Consider the following 21194-nt stretch of genomic DNA (forward strand, 5'->3'; position numbering starts at 1 on the left):
CACGTGAGCGCTGGCGACGTCACCTAGCAACAGCCAATCAGAAGCAAACGGCCGCGGAGCTCCGGGAACGCCCGGCCAAGGGGCGGGCGTCACATGGTGGGCGCTGTGGCTGCGGCTGCGGCTGCAGCGGCCCCAGGTGCAAACAGACTGCCGCCGAATGTGAGCAGCGAGGCGAGGGGTCGAGGTAGCGAGGAGTCAGGGTGGCCCGCAGCAGGAAGACAGAAGGCGTGGAGACAGACTGGCGTTTTGCCTCAGAGGAAGAAGTGGGGTCCCCTCTCCCATTCTGTGAGCAAGTGCCAGTTCCAGTGATTCGTACTTTCATGTCCGAGGTCAGTTTTCAAACACATTAAAGTACATCGGTGCCCAGAGTCCAGCCAGCTCTATCTTCACTTTTCCTCGAAGTGTCTGGCATTTATTCTTGTTAGCCACTCGGCACTTGACATAATCAATTGATTTAATTATCCACAAACCACGTGTAATGCTCGCTTCTTAACCAATCCGCAGGGATATTAGGACAATTAATCATATAATATTGAAACGGGTTTTCCTTGTTGCTTCAAAGAGAAGCTACATAAACTTAAAGGTATTATTGCTAATAGTATATTTGAAACCACTTTCCCTGGTACTTTCCCGACACGCGAGACTCTGAGTAATTATATACGTTTGATAAGTAAATGACACCCTGAAAGCCATCCCGAGGACTTCCTCCTTCGGGTGGAAAGGTTCACCAGTTGTCCTTGAAAATTCGATGCTCTTGCGAAAAAGGAAATAGGATAATAGGTGAGATTATAGATTTATCAAGTAGATACTAGATTTATCACTTCTCTGTAAATTTACAACAAATATAAAAAGTTTTATCTGGTTTGTTGAATTTAATCCTGTTTTACAGTTTTGCATTTTAGGACCCTGTTCTACCCTATCATTGCAATTTTTTTCTTTTCCCTCTGTTTTTTAAAAAATCGGAAATGGTGACTTCCTCTGTCTCTATAACCTTGTAGTTGGAAACCTTGGCCCGACGGTGATGGACTGCACGACTTGCTGGACTCCCAAGTCCGAAGTTCCTGCGGCAGCGCTTGCTTTGTGGCGCCACCTGGTGGGCAGTGTGCGAGGTTGCGGGGGGCGGGGTAGACGGTCTAATCACGCCCAGGCGCCAGCCTCTGAAACCCCCCAAAAGAACAAAATAGTAATTAAAAGCCACAAAATTGTGCTAGTGCGCACCATCTGAAGCACCCTTTCCTAAAGACATAACATGTCGCTGAAAGAACTTGTTAAAACAACTGTCTGATAGAAAACAAGTTGATACCTTCAAAAATATGATCTTTGGTCTTCTTCCCCATAAAAAGCAAGTGTGTAATTAAAACTCCAGCATTCACACAGAGAAATAATGAGATAGGTAATGCGCCTTTAAGTCTACCTGGATTTAGTTCCCAGCTTTTTTTTGGTTAAGGAAGGCCCCTAGATGGAAAGCGCCAGCTTATGAGAAACGTTGGAGGTGGAGCTCACCTCCACCCACCTGCATTGCTTTATGCGGTTCTCTGCCTACTTTGTGGGCCTCAGCTGCAAAACCAACCTCTTGATATTGAAACATGATTGCCTTTTGGTGTTTTTTTGTTTGTTTTTGTTTTTTTGAGACGGAGTCTCACTCTGTCACCCAGGCTGGAGTGCAGTGGCGCCATCTTGGCTCACTGCAACCTCCACCTCCTGGGTTCAAGCGATTCTCCTGCCTCAGCCTCGTAAGTAGCTGGGATTACAGGCGCGCGCCACCACTCCCGGCTAATTTTCGTATTTTTAGTAGAGATGGGGTTTCACCATGTTGGTCAGGCTGGTCTCGAATTCCTGACCTCGTGATCTGCCCGCCTTTTGGTGTTTTGACTTCAAATTCCAACTCTTTCTGTCACCACAGTGGTAGCTGCTTTGATCTAATGTAGAAAAAAAATTCCCTGAAAAAGACAATTTTAAAAATCCAACCGCCTGCTGGGCACGGTGGCTCACACCTGTAATCCCAGCACTTTGGGAGGCCAAGGCGGGCAAATCACCTGAGGTCAGGAGTTCGAGACCAGCCTGGCCAACATAATGAAACCCCATCTCTATTAAAAATACAAAAATTAGCCAGGTTTGCTGGTGGGAGCCCGTAATCCAAGCTACTTGGGAGGCCGAGGCAGGAGATTCACTTGAGCTGGCGAGGCAGAGGTTGCAGTGAGCCAAGATCATGACAAGATCATGCCATTGCACTGCAGCCTGGGTGACAGAGCGAGACTCTGACTCAAAAAAAAAAAAAAAAAAAAAAAATCCAACCACCATGTCTTCTTCTCTCTGTTCTTTGTTCCCACCCTAAATATGTTCTCCAGGCTTTTTCATGATGGCAAATTTGTTGTATTTTATTTATTCAGTAACTTCCATTAATTAGCAGCCCAAAGTCTAGATCAGCTGGGATCTGGAAAATGGTTTCTTTCTGGAAGGAAATGACTGGAGCCCCACTTTATCTGTAAAACAAAGGATTGTGTACATGGGGGAAAGAGGGGGCAAAGAAGAGACCAGAGGCAATGAGCAAGCGGGGAGAGTGTGAGGGAGGGGGAAAGGGAGACAGAACGCACAACTGCATTTGGAGAATCAAGTAGAGACTTGAGGTATCAGTTCTGATAATTTGAACACAAGTCTGGGTTTAGCCAAATTATCTGATTACTGCACCACAATGTCCAAACGATTTGCTTACTTTGGTCTGAAGTCAGGGAAGCAGTGGCATAGGGAATTGACAGTTTTGTCTACAGTCAGAGTGACGCCCGTCTCCTTAGTGATCTGAGAGGAGTGAAGGGGAGGCTTAAAACGAGTTTGGGAGAACACTGGTGCTTGAGGGCGGCCAGCTACCTCTTCTGCCCCAGGGCACTTTCTTTCCCCTTCTCTGTTTTCGGATTTCTCTGACTTCGGCATTCTTTTGCTCCGCAGGAACATAGAGAACGGTGGGGGTAAATAAGGGGAGCCTGAAGTTTCTGCTCTGTGCTTGCGTGTTCGAATCCCATCGCTGAGACTTTCTTCTGCTTTGGATCGCTTGTCCCAGGCTGACGCCGCGCTGCGACCTCTCCCCTCGTAGGAGCCTAACGCCAACCCCTGCGCCAGGCAGGGATGGAATCATCATTCTCATTGTATAGATGGACACTGAGGCTCGAGAACGGAAACGACTTCTTTTGAGTTGGGTGCCTCTCCCCCCTTGCCAGGCAGCCGCCTTTCTCTGTTGCCATAGCACAAATCACAAGGGTATTTATGGTAAGCCTTAGTTGAACAGCTCCAGGTCTCCAGAAGACGGCGAGCTGGAGAGGACAAGTCTGCGCTTTGCTCTCAGACCCTTGCCCCACCGCTAGCCTGGGGCAGGATTCCAGCCTTCGCCTAGCCGGGCGCTTTGCTCTGCCGGGCTATTGGGCGTCCTCCGCTGCACAGAAAGCCAGCCCAGTTGGGTATTACTGGGGAGAGGATGCCTCCTGTCGGCAGGGAGCTAGGGTGGGCGCCCGGGTGCCCTCAGTGCGTGGCGGGGCCAGGCCCATTTTCACTCTCCTTCCTCACTCGGGGGATGGGAGGGCTGCATGCGCTGCTGCTCCTACTCCTCACAGTCTCGTCGAGGGTCCCGGAGACGGGAGTTTCCGGGCCGCTGGTCCAAGAGGCAATGCCAGTTTCGGTACCTTTGTGTTTTCGTCCCCGAAGTAGTAGCTCTAGGAACCTGCGCTTTCGAATCCCTTTGGGGTTTGTCCTAAAACTCAAAGACGTTGGAAGAGGGCGGGGATTTGGTTATGAGAACCTCCCAGCTCAGCCTTTGCGACCAAACCCGCAGTGCTTTTGTTCTTACTTCATTGGCTAATTGCAGCTTCTTGGGACAACTCTGGCTGGGTCCTTTCGCATTGCTGGTCTCCTCAACCTGATTTTCCCTGCGACCCCTAAGGCAGCCTCGAGGGACTCCGGGAGCCATCAGCTCTCCGCAGCCCCTTGGGCCGGCAGGCAGACGCGACCCCTGACTCGGGATCTGCGTCCTGGGATTTCACATTTTTTCTTTTCCTGCATGGACCTGGCGAGAGGACACAATGGGATCACTCTTGGGGAGCTAAAACTCGGCCTGTGCAGGGAATGGGTGGGTCCTCTGGTCTCTGCTGCCACGGCTTCCCAGCTCAGAGGTTGTCTCGGGTTTCTACCATTTTAAAAATTATTATTATTATTATTATTATTTTGAGACGGTGTTTTGCTCTTGTTGCTCAGGCTGGAGTGCAATGGCGCGATCTCAGCTCACCGCAGCCTCGCAACTGAGGCGATTCTCCTGCCTCAGTCTCCCGAGTAGCTGGAATTACGGGCATGTGCCACCACGCCCTGCTATTTTTTTTTTTTTTTTTTTTTTTTTTTTTTGGTATTTTTAGTAGAGATGAGGTTTCTTCATATTGGTCAGGCTGGTCTCGAACTCCTGACCTCAGATGATCCTCCCGCCTTGGCCTCCCAAAGTGCTGAGATTACAGGCCTGAGCCACCGCGCCAGGCCTATTATTATTTTTTTAAGAGTCAGAGCTTCACTCTCTCACTCAGGTTGGAGTGCACTGGCTCGATCACAACTCACTGCAGCCTCGAATTCCTGGGCTCAAGGGATCCTCCTTCCTCAGCCTCCGGAGTAGCTGGGACCACAAGCATATGCCACCATGCCCAGATAATTTTTTTATTTTGTAGAGATGGGGTCTCACTATGTTGCTCAAGCTGGTCCCAAACTCCTGGGCTCAAGCGATCCTGCAACCTCGGCCTCCAAAAGTGCTGGGGCTGGGATTACAGGCGTGAGCCACCGCTCCCGGCCCGCATCTTTGGCTCCACACTCCCTCCTGGCTCCCGAGCTTGAGAGTCTCAGTCAGCCATTCCTCTTCCACCTGCCTCCAGGCACTGTCCTCCAGCAGCGTGCAGTCTAGTGCAGAGAACGATTGCCCGCGTGTATTTACTGAGCGCCCAGCGTTCTGCCAAGCCCTTTACCTCAGACATCTCACTGACTCCTGGGAATCGCCCTGTAGGGTGGGTACAATATCACCCACATTGAGGAAACCAAGGCCTAGAGCCAATCACATGGTTACCGACGCGCAGCAGAGTCCGACCTCGAACTCAGATCTGGGCCATGGAGGCAAGGCCGCTGTCGCTCTGGGCTGTTTCCGGCCAGGGGACGCGAGAGAAGGCGGCACCACACTTACTTCTCCCGGGCCTGGTGCTGCCAGCTCCGCGGAACAGATTGGAAGGGGCATTGGCCGTCCTGAGGGCGACCGCGCCCCTCTCTCCCCAAAGAGAGTCCTGGAAGGGGGGTTCCCCTGGGAGAGGAGGAGGCCCGCCCGGCTGCGCAGAGGGTAGCCCCGGGAAGATTCCTGAACAGACTCGAGCCTCTGCGGAGAGGGCGGGATGCGGGTGCCCCCTGGCTTGGCACGTGAAGCCAAGCTTGAGGACCTGATGTTTTGTTCCCGCTGGGATTCCGCCCCAAGTTATCTTTGCTCCCTGCTGGGGTGTAAGTAAACCCCAGGGGCTTGAACCGAAATCATCGGTTACTCGACGCTTCCAGCCGTGGCCTTTCCGCGGCGCTGGGCTTCTGGTGCTATCAGACCCAATTTCGCCTTTTGCCTTCCAGATCTAACAGACTCTAGTCAGGTCCATTTCACTTTATTGTCTGTTCAATGGTTAAAGCAAAGAGAGTGAGAGCTGGGGCCCTTGACCCAGGAGGGCGCCCTGTATGGGGCGAGGGGTCGCCCAGGCTCTGAGGCACACTGATCCGGTGGCCTAACTGTGGATCCCAGCGCACAGGCCCCATAGGCAGGCCACAGGTGGGTGAGCTTCCAAGGGCGAGAGAAACCCATTCCCCTTAGATGGTGAAAAGCTGCCACATTTTAGTGTCCAGGTCCTGAGAGCTGCAAATGCTGATGGAGTAAATTACTCCCTCTTCCTTTCCCCACCGCCCCTGCCCCCTCCAGGAACAAAAGCTCAGACCGCTGAGATGTTCACTCTGCACTTTCAGCAGCACTCACATTGAGATATGAGAAGACTGCAACAAGGTTTGTTCTTACGAAAGAAAACAATCTCAGAGAACACATGGACACAAGGAGGGGAACGGCACACACTGGGGCCTGTCAGGGGGCGGGGGTGGGGAGCAGGGTAGGGAAAAACAGCTAATGTATGCTGGGCTTAACACCTAGGTGATAGGTTGATAGGTGCAGCAAACCACCTTGGCACACCTTTACCTATGTAACAAACTTGCGCATCCTGCACATGTACCCCGGAACTTAAAATTTTTAAAAAAAGTAAAAAAAAAAAAATTTCCGAGGTTTCCCGCCCCTGAACTGAGGACCATTTGTGCCCGGCGTTCCGGGGGGACCGGGAGGGGGCTGTGCTTGGGGGGCGGCGGGGCGGGGGACTGGAAGCGAGGGGGTAAGTGTAGCAGGGAGGGGAACGTCGCCGGGGGGTCTTGGACCTCGGGTCTTCCGCGTGTCCGGTGTTGATTGGCTCCAGTTGTCAGGTTGAAACCACAACTCCTCCCCTAAGAGCTGCAGAGGTGAGCCCACGACGTGCCGGCCCTAGGTGTTCTCATCGTTGGGTTGTCAGTGCAGCATGCTTCTGGAACTTTCAGAGCCTCACAGGCCTTAGACCCTTTTCACTTTAGTGTCTATTCAGCGGTTAAAGCAAAACACACACACACACACACACACACACAGACACACACACACACACACCACCGCCACCACCATCACCACAACCAACAAACGGGAGAACTAGGAAGGAAAACTCTGGAACTTAGAAACTACCCTTGGACACAAAATTCCCTTCTCTTTCACAGAGTCTTTCTTTCCACTCTCTCATTTTAGAACAAAAGGGTTGTGCCACCTCCTTTGGATGTGAAGAGGATGTGCTGACACGTGTGCTCGGGAGCCAGACTTTGTGGCCTTGGGGAAAGGACTGAATATTTCTGTGCTTCGTCGTTTGCATCTGTGGAATGCAGGTGATACTGAGCTCTTCCTTGTGGGATTATTGCCTGGAAATACACCATTATAGGTTCATCGCCGCCAGGTTTACCGCGACACTCGGCGTTCTCGGGCCTCAGCGGAATGGGTTTTAAACCGCGGAGGGAGGCCCAGGCGGAGAGGGTGTAGGCCCACTTTTCTCACTCGTGTCTAAGCAGGCCTTGTCCTGGCGGCAGCCAAGGTGAAGGCAGACGCTGTTTCCGGGATCCAGTGGACCAGGCCAGGCCAGGGGATTTGGGCGTGGGCCTCCGAGGCGGCAGTGGGTGGTCCAGGGGCATTGTGAAGCCGTCAGGCACTGTGGATGGGGAAGTGCAGGGCCCGCCTGCAGCACTGAAGTTTGGAAAGGCCAAATACTGCTCCTAACCCGTGCGGCAAGGACTGCCCCATTCAGTAAGCGGGGCAAAGTCCCGCCTTGACAAGCCTCTCTGTAGTTTCCCTGTGTGCTACACCTGGGCTGCTTCTGCTCGCTTCTTTGAAAATGGAGAGGGGAGCAGAGGGAAGAACCTTGCAGGTTATTCACAGGGAACTGACCCTAGGCAGTCATGTCAGATTGTTTGCATGTACTTGTGCACGCGTTTTCAAATGCATAAAACCCTGTGCATGTTTCAAATGTGTAAACACGTAAGCATTTTTATTTGTATTTCTATTTCTTTTATTTATTTATTTATTTATTTATTTATTTATTTTCTTTTGAGACGGAGTTTCCCTCTTGTTGCCCAGGCTGGAGTGCAGTGGTGCATCTTGGCTCACTGCGACCTCTGCCTTCCAGGTTCAAGTGATTCCCCTGCCTCAGCCTCCCGAGTAGCTGGAATTGCAGGCGCGTGCCACCATGCCCAGCTAATTTTTGTAGTTTTAGTAGAGATAGGGTTTCACCACGTTGGCCAGGCTGGTCTCCAACTCCTGACCTCAAGTGATCCGCCCGCCTCGGCCTCCCAAAGTGCTGGGATTATAGGTGTGAGCCACTGCGACTGGCTAGCATTTTTATTTTTTAGAAATCTTGGCCGGGCGCGGTGGCTCACGCCTGTAATCCCAGCACTTTGGGAGGCCGAGGCGGGCGGATCACGAGGTCAGGAGATCGAGACCATCCTGGCTAACACGGTGAAACCCCGTCTCTACTAAAAATACAAAAAATTAGCCGGGCGAGGTGGCGGGCGCCTGTAGTCCCAGCTACTCGGGAGGCTGAGGCAGGAGAATGGCGTGAACCCCAGGGGGCGGAGCCTGCAGTGAGCCGAGATTGCGCCACTGCACTCCAGCCTGGGCGACAGCGAGACTCCGTCTCAAAAAAAAAAAAAAAAGAAATCTTTTCTTTCTATGTCAGTCGTTACAGAGCAATCATTTTCTTCTTAAGGTGAATGTGTGAGGAAGGTATCATCATTTATTTGACTATCTTCTTTGCCTTGTCATCTAGATGATTTCCGATATTTACAAACAACACATGAGTGAATGTCTTCTGGAGAGCTTTGCCCACATGTTCAATTATATTTGTAAACTAGAATCCTAGTAACTGAATTGTATGTCAACATTTTAATAGCTACCACTAAGCTCCCCTTAAAAAACAAGCAATTTAAGCTCTATACTCATTTCTGAGCACTCTCACCAAGAATATTAGGAATCTTCAGTGTTTTTTGAATATGATAGGCTTAAAATAGTGCCATATTTTAACTTGCAAAGGCTTTACATTAGTAGAGTGTGTGTCTTTTTTATTTTATTTTATTTTAGAGAGGGATGCTCTGCTATATTTTGTCCAGGCTGATCTTGAACTCCTGGGCTCAAGTGATCCTCCTGCCTCAGCCTCCAGAGTAGTTGGGACTACAGGCATGTGCCATCGCATGCTTGGCTTGTGTTTTTATATAGGCATTTTATTTTCTTCTGTGAATTGCCTATTTTTGTTCTCTGCCCATTTTTCTGTTTTTAAAAAATTGATTTACAGGAAATTATTACATATTTTGGAGATTAACTCATTATTGTGTTTATAGTCAATATTAATTCCAAGTTAATTGCTTCTCTTTTACTTTTGTTTATTCTCTTTTCTAGTTCAGAGATTTTAAGTTTTGTATGGTCAAATATGTGACTCTTTTTTTTTTATGGCTTCTGGGCCTTCAGGTCATGATTATAGATGCCAATACTTTTTTTTTTTTTTGAGACGGAGTCTCGCTCTGTCACCCAGGCTGGAGTGCAGTGGCGCGATCTCGGTTCACTGCAACCTCCGCCTCCTGGGTTCATGCCATTCTCCTGCCTCAGCCTCCCAAGTAGCTGGGACTACACGTGCCCGCCATCACACCCGGCTAATTTTTTGTATTTTTAGTAGAGACAGGGTTTTACCATGTTAGCCAGGATGGTCTCAATCTCCTGACCTCGTGATCTGCCCGCCTCGGCCTCCCAAAGTGCTGGGATTACAGGCGTGAGCCACCGCGCCCGGCCTATAGATGCCAATACTTTTAGATGTTAATACTTTTAGAGTTAATATATACAGTGGTTAAAAGTATGGGCTCTGGGCTTAAATCCTAACTTGGCTACTTGCTAACTGTGTAAATTAGGGAAAGTTATTTAACTTTTCTGTGCCTCTGTTTAATGTTTAATTGAACAAAACTTCACTTAGACTACTGAAGGATAGTTGTGGAATGGACCAAGTGTTGTCTCTCAAATCTGATTTTTGGGGAATGCAGCTAAACTACTCCCTAGCCCCCTTTGCACTTATGTGTAACCATGTCATTCAATCCAAGAGAATGGAACATAAGTGGAAGCCATGTGTGCCTCTCCCAGGACAGGACCTTTTAGGCAGAGTTGAGACTCCTCTCTGCTCTCTTTTTCCTTCCGCTGTCTGGAACCAGCTTCAACTATGAAGATGACATGGCCCTAGAGTCTCCTAGAGGCCCTAGGGGACTCACCGCCTAGGGGAATCTTCATCACTTGTTTGGAAGGTTATCTGACCAAGAAATAAACTTACATTTTAAGATACTGACTTTTGGGATTATATATATACACACACACATATATATACACACATATATATATGTACACACACATATATATATCTATACACAAACATATATATATGGCAGCTTATCTACTATAGCTAATACCATGACCTTGAAGTTAGGATGCAATGACTTTGTTAGGAAAAAATTACAGGAAAAAGTCCAGAACATCCTTTATCTGTGAAAACCAGATGAATGGGAAGCCAAGCACAGACCTGAAACCATTTGATTCCTAGGTGCATTCAGTCCATGAATAGAAAGAGGTTAGCATAGCTGGTTGTTATCCTTAGGAACATAAGTCTTTAATGATCATTAGTGGGGTTCTTTCACTTCTAAGCCCAAATCATATGCGTTTCCTTTTAAAGGTGATGGATTGCAGAAATTTTGTCACTGTGCCACATGGGACCCTCCCCTCCATGTCAGTGTCACTCTTGCCTTGGGCACATGCTTATTATGCTTAGGAGTTGTCATGGGGTGATAAGCCAACTTACTACTTTAGTCTTTTTTGGACGACAGTGCCTAGGATAATGGAATGAACAAGGCAAAGGCAGCACAAAGAGAAGAGGTGCTAATAATGAAATAACTTCAAATAGGAAAAAGAAAATTAAAAAAAAAAGGAAACTTCCCACTAAAAGGGCCCAAATGGCTTTCATTTGAGGAAAGTACGCAAACTTAAGTGAATGAACTTTGGGATGTCATTTTGGGCCATTTCAAGACATTGTTTTTGCCTATTTCCCAGTCCTCAGTTGTGTACTCCTTGCTGGTGTTACTACATAGCTAAGTTCTGAATTGATGATATGCTTTGGTTTCATTTAGAACTGAGCACAATTTATCACCACATTCCAGAAAAGATTGAATACTAAGGAGCCACACCAAGTCTTGTGTAAGACAGTGATGACACCCAGTGGTCATTTAGGGTCTTCATCTACATCGACCCAATTCATAGTAAAGCTAACAAATTGCACATATTAGTATACGAAAAGTGCTGTGTGTGTGACAGCCTGTGGGGGAAGGGGCAGCTAGACTTTACAGCTCTGACTGTTGTATCCTTGTAGTTTCATCTTGGGCATTTCTTTTTTTCTTTTTTCCTTTTTTTTTCTTTTTTTGAGACAGAGTCTTGCTCTGTCGCCCAGGCTGGAGTGCAGTGGCGTGATCTCAGCTCATTGCAAACTCCATCTCCCAGGTTCAAGTGATTCTCCTACCTCAGCCTCCCCAGTAGAGTAGCTGGGACTATAGTCCTGCACCACCACACCTGGCTAAATTTTTTATTTTTAGTACAGATGGGGTTTCGCCATGTTGGCCAGGCTGGCCTTGAACTCCTGATCTCAAGTGATCTGCCCACCTTGGCTTCCCAAAGTGCTCGGATTACAGGCGTGAGCCACCGCACCTGGCCTTGGACATTTCTTTTTTCTTTTCTTTCTTTTTTTTTTGTTTTTTTGAGATGGGGTCTTGCTCTGTTGCCCAGGCTAGAGTGCGGTGGTGTGATTTTGGATGACTGACTGCAACCTCTGCCTCCCAGTTTCAAGCAATTCTCCTGCCTCAGCCCCCTGAGTAGCTGGGATTACAGGAGAGCACCACCATGCCTGGCTAGTTTTTGTATTTTTAGTAGAGACAGGGTTTCTCCGTGTTGGCCAGGCTGGTCTAGAACTCCTGACCTCAGGTGATCCTCCCACTTCAGCCTCCCAAAGTGCTGGGAATACAGGCGTGAGCCACCGTGCCAGGCTGGGCATTTCTTACTATGCAATTACCTTCCCTGGTTGAACTCAGTAAAGGATTTCACTCTTATCTCTATTATACTTTTGATACTCTGTCATAATCCAAAGAATAGCTGCTGGAATCCTGAGATGTTTAAACAAGGTTTTACTTAAGTCTTGGGATAACAAAAGGGAAATAAACATCAAAAGTAACCTGGACCCAGATGGCCGAATACTGTAAACTCTGTTGGTATGAACCATGTATTTATTGTATGAAATAACCCCATCACATAGTGAGTGACTGAAGTGAAAAAATGACATATAAAAGACTTAAAGGGTAAATGAGAGTTAGCTAGGTAAATAGTTGAGAGAAAGGCATTATAGAAAGAAGAAATAGTATGTGCAAAGTTCTGAGTCTGAAAGGGACATTTGAAAACCTGGAAGAAGGTGAGCTGGGCCAGACCACAGTGGATGAGGAGAGTATGTACGGTGGGGCTGGCAAGGTAGGCAGGAAATATATCGTGTAGGACCTAATAGATTTTTGGCCCAAGAACAATGGAAAATTCAAAAGTTTAGAAAAATTTGGCCAGTCGCGGTGGCTCACACCTGCAATCCCAGCACTTTGGGAGGTGGAGCCGGGTGGATCATGAGGTCAGGAGTTCGAGACAAGCCAACATAGTAAAACCCTGTCTCTACTAAAAATAGAAAAATTAGCTGGGCATGGTGGGGCACGCCTGTAGTCCCAGCTACTTGGGAGGCTGAGGCAGGAGAATAGCTTGAACCTGGGAGGCAGAGGTTGTGGTAAGCTGAGATCGTGCCACTGCCCTCTAGCCTGGGCAACAGAGCGAGACTCCGTCTCAAAAAAAAAAATTAAAATTAAACTTTTAATTTTGAGATAATCATAGATTCACATGCAGTTGTAAGAGATGATAAAGAGTGATCCTTTGTACCCTTTCCACAGTTCCCCCAGTGATAGTGTGAAGTTATAGAGCAAATCAACAACTTTTTGTTTTTTTTTTTAAAGGAGATAGAGTCTTGCTATCTTGCCCAGGTTGGGCCACAATTCCCGGGCTCAAGTGATCCCCTTGACTCAGCCTCCCCAGTAGCTGGGACTGCAGAAATGTGCCACCGTGCTTGGCCTATAACAAGGATATTGACTAATCTATTCTCTATTCCTATAATTTATCATTTCAATAATGTTACATCAATGGAATCATATAGTATGAAAGCTTTTGAGATTGGCTTTTTTTTTCTCAGAGAACGTGATTTTCTGGAGATTTGTCCAGATTGTTGTATGTAACAATAATTTATTCTTTTTTATTGTTGAGTAGTATTCCATGATATTATATCCCACAGTTTGTTTAACCATTTGCCCATTGAAAGACATCTAGATTTTTCCAGATTTTGATTGTTCTGAATAAAGCTGCTATAAACACTTGTGTATATGTTTTGTGTCAACACAAGTCTTCATTTCTCTGGGATATAGGTTTAGCTTTAATGCTGAGTTTGAGGTATCTCTATCAGTTAGCTACTTCTGTGTCACAAGTTACCCCAAAACTCAGTAGCTTGAAACAATAAGCATTTCTTATTGTTTGTATGTCTAAGCTCGCTCATGTGTCTGTGGAGGGCTGACTGAATTGGACGCTGGCTTGTTTGGAATGGCCTCACTCTCATGGCTGGCAGTTGGTTGGCTGTCAGCTGAGGTGACAAGGGTCACTGGGCCATCTCATCAACTAGCAGGCTAATCTGCAGGTGGCCTGCAGTGGCGGGGACCTGAGCAAGAGAAGAATCGTAAGATGCCTTTTGAGATCCACGCTTGGAACTTGTACATTGTCACTTCCACTGTATTCTACTGACCAAAGCTAGCCATGAGGTCAGCCCAGATTCAAAAGGGGAATTGGACTTGGGGTGATCAACTCATCCTGGTTTGCTCACAATTTTGCTGGTTTCAGCACTCTAGTCCTATGTGCCAGGAAACCCCTCAGTCCTGGGCAAACTGGGATGGTCAGTCACCCTAAGCAGATGCCACCTCTTGGTGGAAAGAGCAGCAAAGTCACATGGCAAAGGGCATGGTTATAGGGAGAGATAAAGAATTGGGACATTTTTACAATCAATCCACTACAATGCCTATGAGATTTCCAGGCAGAAGTATCAAGTATCATTTAGCTCTTAGAAGACAGATCCATCTGGAGATAAATTTGGCTTATATGTAAGTGATTATCTAATATTTATTGAGCAATTAAATGACAGATACTAATGTAATAAATCACTAAGTTTTAATTCTCACAAATTATTAGGAAATATATATTATAGAAGTTTAAGATATTGTTTCTCAAGATAAAAAGAAAGCAAGATAAAAGGAAATTGATGGTTAGAAATAAAGATTAAAGAAACTACCAAATGCTGATATATGGCCCGCTAATGCAGCAATTTGGGGCTAATTAGCATAGGGAGACTATCCTGACACACCTTGATGAGGTTCTGATAGAGCCTGAAAATTGTTAATATTTAGAATAATGAGTCTTGACTAATTCAGGAAAGATTGGAGTGTGTTCAGCATTGCTCTGCCTGACATGAAAAGGATGTCACCACAGTTTAAATGGTTAAATGGCTTTCTATCACTTACAGCAGTGTTTCTCAAATTGGGGCCTGGAGATACCTGGGGCCACACTGTTTTTGCAATAATTATATTCCAGGTTTTTGCTTCAAAAACAAAAAATTAATATAAGTATGCCCTGGATCATTTGGATGACTATAACAGTTCTGTCATATGATTTTAGCATTCATATTTGTGTTAATAATAAAATTTGAGCCAGTAAATTCCACAGGATGTTATGGTGTGCAGTAAAAGATAAAGATGTGGCAAATCGCTCAGAGGAGAACTTTGCATAGCATAAGATACAATAGGCAGAGTGAACTCAAAACGATCTTCTAGTTGGTTAAAGCAGAAGATAGTTTCAGTTACTTGGGAGACTGAGGCAGGAGGATCCTTTGAGTCCAGGAGTTCGAGGCTATAGTAGCTATGATTGTGCTTTGTGCCACTGCATTCCAGCCTGGGCAACATAGCAAGATTCTATCTCTAGTATATATATATATATATATATATGTGTGTGTGTGTGTGTGTGTGTGTGTGTGTGTGTGATATATGAGACTATTCTATCTCTAGTATATATATGTGTGTGTGTGATATGAGACTATTCTATCTCTAGTATATATATATGTGTGTGTGTGATATATGAGACTACCTTCATATATATGTGTGTGTGTATATATATATATATATATACACCTCCTTATCCTTTATATAGTCCATACCTACTTGCCACATTTGACCATAATTATCTTTATTATATATAGCTCCTTTATATATAGGAGGTAGTCTCATATTCTCTTTGAACATTGATGCATTCGGTGGATTCTGTCTTTGTATAATTTACAGCAGTTTATTATTATTAAAGGCAGTAGCAAATGCTCAATAAAGAACTTGTTTCCCATTCTCAACAATAGGTTATTTTTGCTGGGTGCAGTGGCTCACGCCTGTAGTCCCAGCACTTTGGGAGGCCGAGTTGGGCGGATCACAAGGTCAGGAGTTTGAGACCAGCCTGACCAACATGGTGAAATCCCGTCTCTACTAAAAATACAAAAATTAGCCAGGTGTGGTGGTGTGCGCCTGTAATCCCAGCTACTCAGGAGGCTGAGGCAGGAGAATCGCTTGAACCCAGGAAGCAGAGGTTGTAGTGAGCTGGGATCGTGCCACTGCACTCCAGCCTGGGCGACAGAGTGAGACTCCGTCTCAATTAAAAAAAAAAAAAAAAAAAAAAACCAAAAAAATCCCAAAAAACACAATAGGTTATTTATTTATTTATTTATTTATTTATTTATTTATTTATTTATTTATTTTTGAGATGGGGTCTTACTCTGCCACCCAGGCTGGAGTGCAGTGGCACAATCTTGGCTCACTGCAACCTCCACCTCTAGGGCTCAAGTAATCCTCCTGCCTCAGCCTCCCAAGTAGCAGGTTATTTATTTTAGATTTCATTAATGATTAGTTATTAGTATTAAAAACACAATTTAAATCTGTTTAAGCAGAATATAGAATTTATTGTCTACGGGTTCATCTGGATTCAAACAAACCTGGGTCCAGTGACTGAGATGATGTCATCAGGATACAGACACTTTCTCTTTGGCTTTCTGCCACTATCTTTCCTCAAGTTTTCAGTAGCAGCTTCCTTACTTTCTTTTGAATTTGAATTTTCATTGGTAGTGTCTTCAATGTCCAGAATTCTACTTACAGTCTACTCAAAGCAATTTAGACACTTTCTAAATGCTTCTCCAAATCCTGGTAGCCTGTACCTACTTGCTACATTTGACTATAATTATCTTCTCACACTGTTCTTCCAATATATACATTCAATTCTATACATTTCCCTCTCAATCTGTGCCAAAGTATCTGGGGCACTGCAGCAAACTCACATGGGTAGCATGGGAAGTTTTCAAAATTCAAGGAAAACACAATGATACCATACAAACTAAAACTATGTAGCTTGAGGTAATTCATAGTTTCAACAGGAGATTGCAAAACAGTCTTTTTGATGACATATCTTTTTGGTATGTCATTGTATTAAGCACAACTATGTTAAAGGCAAGAAGCATGTGAAAATCAATGTGGCACAGGGAATAAGAGTGGTGGTATCCAATCTGGTTCCAAGGTTTGAGAAGTAGTACAGGGCTCAACAGGTACACAAATCCCATAATGATGCAATTCTGTTATTTAACTGTGATGAAATATGAATATCATCTATTCTTTCAACTCTGTGTATTCTTTTTTCAAATGGCTAGTAAGTTGCTAGGATTTAAATACTTATTAAGTTGTTTGGATATAACTACAGTCGTGTGCCACATAATGTTTTGGTCAACAATGGGCAACATACACAATTAATCTTGCGTTGTGTTCATTACAGCCCTTAGCATTCAAAAATTATGGCTAATGTTGTTAGTAAGAGCCACATTGAGTGATTGACCCAGAAAAAAAGATTAAAAGTGATTGGGCCGGGCGCAGTGGCTCACACCTGTAATCCCAAAACTTTGGGAGGCCGAGGTGGGCAGATCACAAGGTCAGGAGATCGAGACCATCCTGGCTAACACAGTGAAACCCTGTTTCTACTAAAAATACAAAAACGAAATTAGCCGGGCGTGGTGGTGGGCGCCTGTAGTCCCAGCTACTTGGGAGGCGGAGGCAAGAGAATGGCATGAACCCGGGAGCCGGGAGGCGAAGCTTGCAGTGAGCTGAGATCGCACCACTGCACTCCAGCCTGGGTGACAGAGCAAAACTCCATCTCAAAAAAAAAATATTAAAAGTGATTAAGAACTACAAAAGTAAAAAGTCAGTGATAATGTTTGTTTATCAGGCAGGCATGTCCCATTCCACCATAGCTATGATTTTGAAGAATAACTAAGTGATGGAAGCTGTTAAAGTATTTGCTTCCTTAAAGGCAATGGGATTAACACAAATTTGAGAAGGGTCTCTATCAGATATGGAGATACTTCTAATGACCTGGATTGAAGCCCCAAACAGAAGCACATCCCTCTCAGCACCATGACCAACACAGCCAAAGCAAAAAGTTTGTTTGCAATGATAAAAGAAAAGGCTGGACCTGACTACGATGTTGAATTTACTGTTTGCTCTGGGTGGTTTAAACAATTCCAGAATTGTTATCCATTACATAATGTGAAAGTGAGTGGCGAGTCTGTGAGTGCTGATGTGAAGGCAGCTGAAGAATTTTTGGAGACTTTAGAAAAGTTGACTGTGGAGGAAAATACTTGCCAGGGCAAACTTTCATTATAGATAGAACTCTTTTGGAAATGGATGCCTAAAAGGACTTTCATCCACAAGGAAGAAGGTCAAGGTAATGCCAGGTTTCAAGGCTTTTGAGCTCAGGATAACAGTCTTGCATGGAGACAATGTTGCAGGCTACAAATTGAAACCCTTTATGATCTGGCACAGTGAGAGCCCCAGGACCTTCAAGAATATAAATAAGCTCACACAGGCCAGTGTACTGCATTACTTAATAGTCATGAATCCTCTTCCAGGATTCTCTCTGGAATTACTATGCCAGCAGAATGGAGAAGTACTGTTTGGAGGATAATGAACTTTCCAAGATTCTGCTTATGGTTTTTTATTTTTATTTTTTTGAGACAAGGTCTTGTTCCGTCACCCATGCTGGAGTGCAGCAGTGTGATCTTGGCTCACTGCAACCTCCACCTCCTGGGCTCAAGCAGTTTTCCCACCCCAGCCTCCTGGGTAGCTGGAATAACAGGTGCAAGCCACCACACCCGACTAATTTTTGTGTGTGTGTGGTTTTTTTTTTTTTTTTTTTTTTTTGGTAGAGACAGAGTCTCACCATGTTGGCTGGGCTGGTCTTGAACTCCTGGGCTCAAGTGATCTGCCTGTCTCAGCCTCCCAAAGTGCTAGGATTACAGGTGTGAGCTATCGCTTATTGCTGTTAATGCTCCTGCACATTCTCCTTTTATTGGCGCTCTTCATCCCAACATCAAGGTGTTTCTCCCTCCAAATACCACCTCTTTGATCCAATGGATCAAGGAGTTACAGCAGGTGTTTTTTTTGTTTTTTTTTTTTTTTTTGAGACGGAGTCTCACTCTGTCGCCCAGGCTGGAGTGCAGTGGCGCAATCTTGACTCACTGCAACCTCCGCCCCCTCGGTTCAAGCGATTCTCCTGCCTCAGCCTGTTGAGTAGCTGGGATTACAGGTGTGTGCCACCACGCCCAGCTAATTTTTGTATTTTTAGTAGAGACAGGGTTTCACCATATTGGCCAGGCTGGTCTTGTACTCCTGACCTCGTGATCTGCCCACCTTGGCCTCCCAAAGTGCTGGGATTACAGTGGTGAGCCACTGTGCCTGGCCAGTTACAGCAGCCTTTAAAACTCACTACCTGAGGAGGACCTTCTTTCAGGCTATTTCTGCAACTGAAGAAGACACTGAGAAAACACTGATGCAAATCTGGGAGGATTACAACATCTATGACTGCATTAAGAAGAATCTTGCTTGGGCTTGGGGTGATGTCACCAAGGAGTGTATGGATGGCATCTGGAAGAAGAGACTCAAGAGGTTTGTCCATGACTTTAAAGTATTTGCCAAGGATGGGGAGGCTGCAAAATCAGCAAAGCTGTGGTTAAGATGGCAAACAACTTTAACCTGGGCGTGAATGAGGATGACAACATTGAGGAGCTCCTAGAGGTGGTTCCTGAGGAATTGACTAATGAAGAGTTGTTTGAAATGGAATAAGAATGTGTAGCTGAAGAAGAGGCAAGAGAAAAGGAAACTGTAAGAGATATAAAACAAGAACCACCAAGAAAATTCACAGTGAAGGGTTTATCAGAAGCTTTTGCAGACCTCAAAAAGCTCCTTAAAAAGTTTGAAAACAGGCTGGGTGCGGTGGTTCACGCCTATAATCCCAGCACTTTGGGAGGCTGAGGCGGGTGGATCACTTGAGGTCAGGAGTTTGAGACCAGCCTGGCCAACATGGTGAAACCCCATCTCTACTAAAAATACAAAAATTAGTTGGAAGTGGTGGCAGGTGCCTGTAATCTCAGCTACTCAGGAGGCTGAGGCAGGAGAATCCCTTGAGCCCAGGAGGAGGAGGTTGCAGTGAGCCCAGATCACACCACTGCACTCCAGCCTGGGGGACAAGAGTGAGACTCCATCTCAAAAAAAAAAAAAAAAAAAAGTTTGAAAACATAGACCCTAACAGGGAAAGGTTTTCATTAAGAGAGAGGAATGTCCATGGCGCATTACCTGGTTACAAGCAAATCTACAATTAAAAAATAAAAAAAGAAAGAAATCAAGCAAACCACCTTGAACATATTTCTAAAAAGAGTGACACCACCCCATTAAGAGCCTCAGGCAGGTCCTTCAGGAAGCATTTCAGAAGAAGGCATTGTTATCATAGGAAATGACAGATCAGTGCATGTAATTGATCCTGAAGACCTTCCAGTGGGACAAGATGTAGAGGTGGAAGACAGTGATATTAATGATCCTGACCCTCTATAGGGCTAGACTGATATGTGTGTTTTTATCTTAGTTTGTAACAAAAGTTTTAAAAGTAAAAAAAATAGTAAAAAATTTTAAAAATAGAAAAAAGCAGGCCGGGTGCCATGGCTCATGCCTGTAATCCCAGCAATTTGGGTGGCCGAGGTGGGCAGATGACTTGAAGTCAGGAGTTCAAGACCAGCCTTGCCAACATGGTGAAACCCTGTCTCTACTAGAAATACAAGAATTAGCACTGGAAATCGCTTGAACCCAGGAGCGAAAGGCTACAGTGAGCCGAGATCATGCCATTGTACTCCACTCCAGCCTGGGTTGAGAGCGAGACTCCATCTCAAAAAAAAAAAAAAAAAAAACACCTTATAGAATAAGGATATAAAGAAAATATTTTTGTACAGCTATACAATGTATGTTTTAAGATAAGTATTATCACAAAAGAGTCAAAAAGTTAAAGAAAACTTTAAAAGTTTATAAAGTAAAAAAGTAGTAGTAGGGTGGGTGCAGTGGCTCATGCCTGTAATCCCAGCACTTTGGGAGGCCAAGGCGGGTAGATCACTTGAGGCCAGGAGCTCGAGACCAGTCTGGCCAACATGGCAAAACCCTATCTCTACTAAAAATACAAAAATTAGCAGGATATGGTGGCAGGTGCCTGTAGTCTCACCTACTCAGGGGGCTGAGGAATTAGAATTGCTTGAACCTGGGAGGTGGAGGTTGCAGTAAGCTGAGATTGTACCACTGCACTCCAGCCTGGGTGACAGAGTGAGACTCTGTCTCAAAAAAAAAAAAAAAAAAAAAAGAAAGAAAAACGCAACAGTAAGCGAAGGTTAATTTATTATTGAAGAAAAAATTTTAAATATATTTAGTGTAGCCGAAGTGTCTACCATAGTGTACAGTAATGTCCTAGGCCTTCACATTCACTGACTGACACCCTGAGCAACTTTCAAGTCCTGCAAGCTTCATTCATGGTAAGTGGTCTATACAGGTATACCATTTTAAATTTTATATGCCATATTTTTACCATGTCTTTTCTTTTTTTCATTATACTTTAAGTTCTAGGGTACATGGGCACAATGTGCAGGTTTGATACATAGGTATATATGTGCCATGTTGGTTTGCTGCACCCATTAACTCATCACTTATCTTAGGTATTTCTCCTAATGCTATCCCTCCCCCGGCCCCCCTCCCCAGCAGGCCCCGGTGTGTGATGTTCCCCACCTTGTGTCCAAGTGATCTCATTGTTCAATTCCCACCTATGAGTGAGAACATGTGGTGTTTGGTTTTCTGTCCTTGTGATAATTTGCTGAGGATGATGGTTTCCAGCTTCATCCATGTCCTTGCAAAGGACATGAACTCATCTTTTTTATGACTGCATAGTATTCCGTGGTGTATATGTGCCACATTTGCTTAATCCAGTCTATCACTGATGGACATTTGGGTTGGTTCCAAGTCTGCTA

The 21194-nt window shown here is 45.3% G+C and overlaps 1 long non-coding RNA gene across 1 annotated transcript; it reads left to right on the forward strand.

Annotated features, from left to right (window-relative positions):
• DLX2-DT (DLX2 divergent transcript) lies at positions 67-7043 on the forward strand. The gene is made up of 5 exons (NR_126376.1): positions 67-329; positions 999-1093; positions 2944-3261; positions 5963-6043; positions 6851-7043. It is a non-coding gene; the product is annotated as a DLX2 divergent transcript (long non-coding RNA).
• Positions 7044-21194: the final 14151 nt, after the last annotated feature.

Source organism: Homo sapiens, chromosome 2 (assembly GCF_000001405.40).
Source record: "Homo sapiens chromosome 2, GRCh38.p14 Primary Assembly".
NCBI classification, from domain to species: Eukaryota; Metazoa; Chordata; class Mammalia; order Primates; family Hominidae; genus Homo; species Homo sapiens.